This window comes from Homo sapiens, chromosome 7, assembly GCF_000001405.40.
Source record: "Homo sapiens chromosome 7, GRCh38.p14 Primary Assembly".
Classification (NCBI taxonomy): domain Eukaryota; kingdom Metazoa; phylum Chordata; class Mammalia; order Primates; family Hominidae; genus Homo; species Homo sapiens.
Window position 1 is genome coordinate 98,041,213 of NC_000007.14, and position 9,577 is coordinate 98,050,789.

The 9,577-nt window shown below is 46.5% G+C and overlaps 2 annotated features.

Moving 5' to 3' along the window:
- Positions 7,092 to 7,592: an enhancer, noted in NCBI's record as "H3K27ac hESC enhancer chr7:97677616-97678116 (GRCh37/hg19 assembly coordinates)". NCBI's record gives its function as "activates a minimal SCP1, AML or CMV promoter by ChIP-STARR-seq in primed H9 embryonic stem cells {active_cell/tissue: H9 hESC(primed)}" and the evidence as "EXISTENCE:reporter gene assay evidence [ECO:0000049][PMID:30033119]".
- Positions 7,593 to 8,093: an enhancer, noted in NCBI's record as "H3K27ac hESC enhancer chr7:97678117-97678617 (GRCh37/hg19 assembly coordinates)". NCBI's record gives its function as "activates a minimal SCP1, AML or CMV promoter by ChIP-STARR-seq in naive H9 embryonic stem cells {active_cell/tissue: H9 hESC(naive)}" and the evidence as "EXISTENCE:reporter gene assay evidence [ECO:0000049][PMID:30033119]".

Genomic DNA, 9,577 nt, shown 5'->3' on the forward strand with positions numbered 1-9,577 from the left:
ACTGGAACAATCTGCAGAGCATCTTCCGGCGGGGACGGGCATAGAGGAGGGCAGCTGTGAACACCTCCTGGTCAGCACCGGGTGCTCACTCAGAAGGGTGTACATTTTCACTCTGCACCCCTCGCTTTGGGTGCTGCTAACGTGCCATCCCCATGTAACGTGTTGTATTTTATTTTATTTTTGAGATGGAGGCTTGCTCTGTCGCCCAGGCTGGAGTGTAGTGGCACGATCTCAGCTCGCTGCAACCTCCATCTCCAGAGTTCAAGAGATTCTCCAGCCTCAGCCTCCCGAGTAGCTGGGATTACAGATGTGTGCCACCACATCTGGTTAATTTTTGTATTTTTAGTAGAGACAGGGTTTCACCATGTTGGCCAGGCTGGTCTCGAACTCCTCACCTCTGGTGATCTGGATCCGCCAGCCTTGGCCTCCCAAAGTGCTGGGATTACAGGTGTGAGCCTCTGCACCCAGCCTGAATTGTGCACTTTCAATGAGTGAATTGTATGTTATGTGAATTATATCTCAATAAAGTTAGTCTTTAAAAAAAAAAAAGAAGTCTTATCTCAGATCAGTGACCTCCAGGGCTGAAATCTTAACCTGACTAGGCCTTCAGGGATCTGCCACCCCCAATACCTCTGTGAGCTCCTCCCCCTACTCCTCACTCACTCCTTAAACCACTTGGGCCACTTTGCTATTCCTCCAGTGTGCCTAGGGCACCCTGACCCCAGGGCCTTTGTATGAGCTGTTCCCTCTGCCTGGAACTCTTTTCCTGATACCCGCATTTCACTTCCTTCAGCTTTCTTCCCAAATGTGCTCTGAGACCCCTTCCTTGACCCACAGGATAGCACACGCTCAGTCCCAGCGCTTTCTCTTCCTTACCCAGCCTTATTTTTCTGAGTGCATTTCACCACTTGACTATTACAAACATTTAGAACAGTTTTCTGTCTTCTCCAACTAGAATCTTAGCATGGTGAGAGGACAGACTGTTTTAGTCCTTGGCCCCTCAAATAATGCCTAGTTATGGTAGGCTTCAGTCATATTTGTTGAGAGGATGCAGAGCTGCATATTTTTGTTTTTGTTTTTGGTTTTGGTCTTTTGAGAGAGAGAGTCTTACTCTGTGGCCCAGGCTGGAGTGCAGTGGTGAGATCTTGGCTCACCGCAAGCTCCGCTTCCTGAGTTCAAGCGATTCTTGTGCCTCAGACTCTTGAGTAGCTGGGATCACAGGCACGTGATACCATGCCTTGCTAATTTTTGTATTTTTAGCAGAGACAGGGTTTCACCATGTTGGCCAGGCTGGTCTTGAACTCCTGACCTCAAGTGATCTGTTCGCCTCAGCCTCCCAAAGTGCTGGGATTATAGGCGTGAGCCACTGCCCCTGGCCCTGTCATATAATGTATTTAACTAGCCTTAAATATATTAGTTAGTAGTAACTAATGTATTAGTAACTTACTACTATGTAACTTACTACTTAGTAACTTACTACTATGTAACTTACTACTTACTGTATTAGTAACTTATTACTTAGTAACTACTACTAAGTATGTGGCAATTAATATCTTTGTATTTAGATCTTTGAGTCCATGCTAGAGTGTATACAGATTATCAGTAATGGAACTGATGTGTCAAAGAGCTTATGCATTTGGGGGTTGATAGATGTTGCCAAATTGTCCTACAAATATAGGATCAACTACCCTATAGTTGACTGTCCCATCAACTACCGTAGACTTTCCTCACACCCTAAGTAATAATTTGCTACCTTCTTTATCTTTGCCAATCGGAGATGTGAAACATACTATTTCCTTGTAGTTTTAATTTATATTTCTTATTTTGAGTGAGGTTGATCATGTCATACAGTGATTTGTGTGATCTGTAGATTCAACACAATCCCAATGAATTATTCAACCAATCCCTTCCCTATTAATGAACATGCCTGTTGTTACCAGTATTTCAATATTTGAAATTAAACAATTAAATTTTTTTTTTTGAGATGGAGTCTTGCTCTGTTGCCCAGGCTGGAGTGCAGTGGCATGATCTCGGCTCACTGCAACCTCCACCTCCCGGGTTCAAGCGATTCTGCTGCCTCAGCCTCCCAAGTGGTTGGGATTACAGGCACTCACCACCACACTTGGCTAATGTTTTGTATTTTTAGTAGAGATGGGGCCTCACCATTTTGGCCAGACTGGTCTCGAACTCCTGACCTCAGGTGATCTGCACGCCTTGGCCTCCCAAAGTGCTGGGATTACAGGTGTGAGCCACTGTGCCCGGCCGAAATTAAACTCCAATGCGCAAATCATGCGGCTTTGCACTCTTGTCTGATGATCTCCTTTAGAAAAAGTGGAAATGCTGTTTCAAAGAATCCTCTCATTTACATTTCTGGGTGGTTAAATAAGCCTTCCAAGAAGTCTTCCAAAGTCTGTTCCAGTTTATTCCCACCAATGAAGTATGAGAACATTGATCTGCCTTCTGGAAAGATGATAATCATTGACACCCCCAAAACAGAGCATGAGAAGGCCTGTCTCCTTGTTCTCTCACTACTCTGGATTTTGTTAGTCTTTTTGGTTTCCCAGAAGTATAATTTATTGTGCAGTAAAGAATTTTATCTCAGGCTGGGAGCTGTGGCTCATGCCTGTAATCCCAGCACTTTGGGAGGCCAAGGCAGGAGGATCACTTGAGCCCAGGAGGTTGAGACCAGCCTGGGCAACATGGCAAAACCTTGTTTCTACAAAAAAAATACAAAAATTAGCCAGGTGTGATAATGCATGCCTGTAGTTCCAGCTACTTAAGAGGCCGAGGCCAGAGGATCACTTGAGCCTGGAAGTTGAAGGTTGCAGTGAGCCGTGATTGTACCAGTGCACTCCAGCCTGGGACATAGAGCAAGACCCTGTCTCAAAAACAAACAAAAAATTATGGTACATCTTCTAGGTGGAATGTTACACAGCTTTTCAAAATAACAATCAGGCTGGGATTACACCTGTAATCCCAGCACTTTGGGAGGCCGAAGTGGGAGAATTGCTTGAGTCTAGGAGTTTGAAACCAGCCTGGGCAACATGGTGAAATCCCGTTACTAAAAAAAAACCCACAACAATTAGCCGGGTGTGGTGGCATGTGCCTGTGGTCCCAGTCACTTGGGAGGCTGGGGTGGGAGAACCACTGTAGCCTGGGACTTGGAGGCTACAGTGAGCCATGACTGCACCACTGCACTCCAGCCTGGGCAACTGAGCAAGACCCTGTCTCTCCCCACCCCCCAAAACACACACACACACACACACACACACACACACACACACACACGACTACAAAGACTGCAGCAATACAGAAAAAATGTTGACATAATTTTCTTTTTTTCCTTTTTTTTTCGAGCTGGAGACTTGCTCTGTTGCCAGGCTGGAGTGCAGTGGTGCGATCTTGGCTCACTGCAACCTCCGCCTCCTGGGTTCAAGCGATTCTTCTCCCTCAGCCTCCTGAGTAGCTGGGACTTCAGACATGTACCACCATGCCCAGCACATTTTTGTATTTTTAGTAGAGATGGGGTTTCACCTTGTTGGCCAGGATGGTCTCGATCGCCTGACCTCGTGATCTGCCCGCCTTGGCCTCCCAAAGTGCTAGGATTACAGGCGTGAGCCACTGCACCCGGCCAATGTCCACATAATTTTAAGCAAAACGAGCAGAATCCAAAATCGTATCCATGCTGACTAGAACTGTGTGAAAATACACCTACAGGTGAACGGAGACTGGACAGAAGGTAGAAAAGTGTAGAGATTGGTATGAATGGTTTTTCTTGGTTTTGTCCTTGGTATTTGGTGGATCGATGGGTATAGATTGGGAAAGGGAATGAGTAAGAAGCCTCACAATGAGAGAGACAGGCGTGCACCTCTTGCGTCTGCACTGAAGGGTGATGTGGTTAGGGAAGATACGCCTGTCCTTCCTGCAGCACTCTGCACACAAGGGCAGCTGGGCAGTTTGCAGGCGGTCATCTCGAGGTGCTCACAGGACGACAGATGCTCAGGGCTGCCGTCTGGACCTGCGTGTCCCAGCGTGAGATGCGTCCCACCTGATTTTAACAGAAGCAAGTTTTTTTGTTCTTGCTGTTGTTCAGTGATTTTGGACATCTAGCTCCCAGAGCTGTCAGAGCAAAGAGAATGCCTGTTGTTTGAAGCCACCCAGTTTGTGGCTTTTTTTTTTTTTTTTTTTGGAGATGGAGTCTTGCTCTGTTTCACAGGCTGTAGTGGTGCAATCTCGGCTCACTGCAATCTCCACCTCCCAGGTTCAAGTGATTCTTCTGCCTCAGCCTCCCAAGTAGCTGAGATTACAGGCATGCACCACCATACCCAGGTAATTTTTGTATTTTTAGTAGAGACAGGATTTTGCCATGTTAGCCAGGTTGGTCTCGAACTCCTGACCTCAGGTGACCTGCCCGCCTCAGCCTCCCAAAGTGCTGGGATTACAGGTGTGAGCCACCACACCCAGCCGGCACCTTGTTATAGTAGCTGCAGTGTTACATGCTGAACTGTGTACCCTCCACATTCCTACATTGAAGTCTTATTTATTTATTTATTTATTTATTTATTTATTTATTTATTTCAAGATAGAGTCTCACTCTGTCACCCAGGCTGGAGTTCAGTGGCACCATCTCGGCTCACTGCAACCCCCCGCCTCTTGGGTTCAAGCTATTCTCCTGCATCAGCCTCTAGAGTAGTTGGGATTACGGGCATGCACCACCATGCCTGGCTAATTTTTGTATTTTTCGTAGAGATGGGGTTTGTCCATGTTGCCCAGGCTGATCTCGAACTCCTGGCCTCAAGCGATGCGCCTGGCTCGACCTCTCAAAGTGATGGGATCACAGGTGTGAGCCACTGTGCCTGGCCTATATGTTGAAGTCCCAACCTCCAGGACGTCAGAATGGGAGTGTGCTTGGAAACAGGGCCTTTAAAAGGATAATTAAGTTAAAATGAGGTCATTAGGGTGGGCCCTGATCCCTTCTGACTGGTGTCCTTATAAGAAGAGGAATGAGGGGCCAGGCACGGTGGCTCATGCCTGTAATCCCAGCACTTTGGGAGGCTGAGGTGGGCAGATTATGAGATCAGGAGTTCGAGACCAGCCTGGCCAACATAGTGAAACCCCATCTCTACTAAAAATACAAAAAATTAGCTGGGTGTAGTGATGCGTGCCTGTAATCCCAGCTACTTGGGAGGCCAAGGCAGGAGAATCACTTGAACCCGTGAGGTGGAGGTTGCAGTGAGCCGAGATCGCATCACTGCACTCCAGCCCAGGTGACAGTGTGAGACTCCATTTCAAAAAAAAAAAAGAAGAGGAGGACTGAGGGACACACAGGGGCACACCATGATGTTTGCGTGCAGAGGCAATGTCATTTGAAGACACAGTGACAAGATGACCATCTGTAAGCCAGGGAGACAGGCCTCGGGAGAAACTGAGCCTGTCTACACCTTGCTCTTGGACTTCCAGCCTCCAGAGCTGTGAGAAAGTCCATTTCTTTTGTTTAAGCCACCCAGTCTGTGGTATTGAGTGATGGCAGCCCTCTAATACACAGGAGAAAACCAATACAGGAAGAACCTTTTGTTACTAGTGACAGAAAACATTATCAAATTTCCACAGAAAGAAAATGTATTGCAGAAAGAGAAACTATAGTGACTCACATTTCAAACGTACATGTATTTATTTTAAAAATAAACTGTCTATCACTACCATAAATAGAATCCCGGAACCATATCCGTGAAAGCCTGTGAACACACAGCAGTCATTTTGGCTTCAGGTAGGGCTTGGTGAAACATACACGCAACTTTACCACCATCCACGTCTCAGCTCTGCATCCCAGGATTCTGGCCAAAAAAAAAAAATGCTTTTTTTTTTTTTTGTGATCACAGACAAATGCAGCAAGCAGTTCACAAAGCTATACTCTCCTGGGTCTTCAGCCAGCAAGAAGGAGAGTGCCCTTGACCGCCAAACAAATCCAAGGCTTTGCCCCAGTTGGACCCTCTGAGGTCACAGGCTGTCTCTGAACCAATCATTGTTGCCAGAAAACGTGATGTCCCAGTGAGCTTAGTCCTTGACCACATGTTCCTCTCCTGGTATGGAGGGGTCATGAGAGTGAGAAGGAGGAGGGTGCTTTCCTCAAACACATTGGACTGATACCTTTGGGTAAATATCTTCAGAAAAGTTGGGGTATTTGTTTTTTAAAAAATTTATATAAAGAGCCAGGCACGGTGGCTCACACCTGTAATCCCAGCACTTTGGGAGGCTGAGGTGGGTGGATCACCTGAGGTCAGGAGTTTGAGACCAGCCTGACCAACATGGAGAAAGCCCATCTCTACTAAAAATACAAAACTAGCCAGGCGTGGTGGCGCATGCCTGCAATCCCAGCTACTTGGGAGGCTGAGGCAGGAGAATCGCTTGAACCTGGGAGGCAGAGGTTGTGGTGAGTCGAGATCGTGCCATTGCTCTCCAGCCTGGGCAACAAGAGCGAAACTCTGTCTCAAAAAAAAAAAAATTTATATACACACATATTATATATATTAGACATATATGTTTTATATATCTTATATATGTTATATATAAGGCATATTATATATGTTATATATAAGGCATATTATATATGTATATATTTATATACACACATATATAAATAGACATACACATATGTATATATAATATGTCATATATATAAATATATATGTGTATATACATAGTATGTCATATATATATTAGACAGGGTCATGCTGTGTTACCTGGGCTCTGGAGTGCAGTGGTGTGAACATAGTTTTTAAATTTTTTGCAGAGATGGGGTCTTGCTATGCTGTCCAAGCTGGTCTTGAATTCCTGGCCTCCAGCAGTCCTCCCACTTCAGCCTCCCAGAGTGCTGGGATTACAGGCATGAATCACTGCACCCAGCCAGGATAGTGTTAAGAAGAAGAAATAGATATGAGGTGGTCAGTTGCCAACTGCTATTGCAACTGCCCCAAATTTCATGCCCATAGTAATCCAACGAAGTAGGCATTGTTAGTGTCCCTGTTTTCTTTTTGAGACAGGGTCTCGCTTTGTCACCCAGGCTGGAGTGCAATCTTGGCTCACTGCAGCCTCTGCCTCCCATATTCAAGCGATTCTCCTGCCTCAGCCTTCTGAGTAGCTGGGATTACAGCTGCGTGCCACCACACCCGGCTAATTTTTGTATTATTAGTAGAGATGGGGTTTCATCATGTTGGCCAGGCTGGTCTTGAACTCCTGGCCTCAAGTGATCTGCCCACCTCAGCTTCCCAAAGTGCTGGGATTACAGGTGTGAGCCACTGCACCTGGCTAATTTTTGTATTATTAGTAGAGACGGAGTTTTGCCATGTTGGCCAGGCTGCTCTTGAACTCCTGAACTCAAGTATCTGCCCGCCTTGGCCTCCCAAAGTGCTGGGATGACAGGTGTGAGCCACCATGCCCGGCCAAGTGCCCCTGTTTTCTATAGGAGAAAGCTAAGCCTTTGGAGGAAGAAACGAGTTGTCTGAGCTGGCAGGTGGGAGAGTTTGGACGCAAACTTGAGTCTCTAAGTCTGTCCCCAAAGTCTCTCTCTTTTCCCCCACGTTCACTCTCTTCCCCTCTAACTTCTGACAAAGAACCTGTGCCTGATTCTTGTCCGACTTGTTATCTACTTGAAATTGGCCACCGTGAGAGTATTTACACTGTGGAAATTAGCAACTGCTACAGATCAGGACTTTTTCCCCCAAAGAGTCAGTGAGCCTCAAGACACAACAGCTCTCATTGCGACTCCAATGGGGTTCACCACTTTGGGGGAACCCATCTCAAATCTCACAAGTGGATCCTTGATGCTTTAATTTGGTCTGAAGAGATTTCAGTGTAGTGTGAGATGGAGAGGCTTAGAAAAGCCCCCTGGCTGCGGCAGAGTTAGTGTGAAAACAGCAGCCACTTCCTGAGACGGTGGAAATTAACATCCGCGAGAAAGATTTTGGCATCTCATAGCAGCTGAGCCCTCTGGCAACCTGCATTCCTGGCCAGTTACTCACTCCTGAGCCTAAGCAGGTGTTGACTGGGCTCTGCCCCTCCTAGTGTGGCTAGGACTGCCCTGGCCTGCCTGTTCCCTTCCTTGGCAGATCACCTATTTGCTAAGTTACCCTGGGATTTCTCCATCGGTGTCCTGCACTCGCAAGACGGGGAATAGGCAGGATGGGATGGGGCGCTGAGCCGCAGCCTAGATTTGGTCAGGAGCTGAGGATCAAACCTATTCCTGGGGCCGGGCGCAGTGGCTCACACCTGTAATCCCAGCACTTTGGGAGGCTGAGGCGGGCAGATCACTTGAGGTCAGGAGTTCAAGACCAGCCTGGCCAACATGGCAAAACCCTGTCTCTACTAAAAATACAACCCACAATTGTCTGGGTCCTTGCCTGGCCTGTTTGTTTGTTTTTAATTAAAGATGGGATCTTGCTATGTTGCCCAGGCTGGTCTTGAACTCCTGAGTTCAAGAGATGCTCCTGCCTCAGCCTCCCAAAGTGCTGGGATTACAGACATGAGCTACTGCACCCAGCCTAGTATTTTGAACAGCACATTTTTCCTGCTTTTTGAACAAGAGGCCTGCATTTACATTTTGCACTGGACTCCACAAATTATGGAACCGGCCCTGTAGCAGAGTCCTCACCCCCAAAGACCCAGAAGACTTGGAAATGGAAAAGAAGCCCAATATTTTCCCATGTGATAAAAGGGCCAGGCATGTTTTTTTGGAGGCCAATTTTACCAGCCAGTCCTCTCCAGTCCAGACTATTCCCCTGAGATCACTGGTTTATCTTCCCCTCATCCTAACTGGTGGGCCTAACCCATTTTTACCCTGATTTTCCAAAATGACCCAGGGTTAAGAGAAGGAAACACAAGCCAAAGACTCTGAGAAAATATTTGCAAAACATATATCAGATAGAGGATTTGTATTCCAAATATACAAAGAACTGTTAAAACTCAATCATAACAAAATGGTGTCTGGGTGTGGTGGCTCACACCTGTAATCCCAGCACTTTGGGAGGCTGAGACAGGTAGATCACCTGAGGTTAGGAGTTCAGGACCAGACTGGCCAGCATTGTGAAACCCCATCTCTACTAAAAATACAAAAATTAGCCAGACGTGGTGGCACGCACCTGTAGTCCTGGCTGCTCGGGAGGCTGAGGCAGGAGAATTGGTTGAACCTGGGAGACGGAGGTTGCAGTGAGCTGAGATCATGCCACTGCACTCCAGCCTGGGCGACAGAGTGAGACTCTGTCTCAAAAAAACAAAACAAAACAAAACAAAACAAATGAATAACATATAAAGCTTTTTTCTTTTTTCTGCAGTCTCTCTATTGACTTGTCACAATATTTTTTATTTGCTCCCTACTATCATTCTAAGTAAAGAAAACTCAGAAATCTAAATTATTAGCATGAATTTACCATTCATCTTTACATTGTGTAACGCCAATTTTTTTTTTTTTTTTTTGAGACAGGGTCTTGCTCTTGTCGCCCGGGCTGGAGTGCAATGGTGCGATATCGGCTCACTGTAACCTCCACCTCCCAGATTCAAGCGTTTCTTGTGCCTCAGCCTCCTG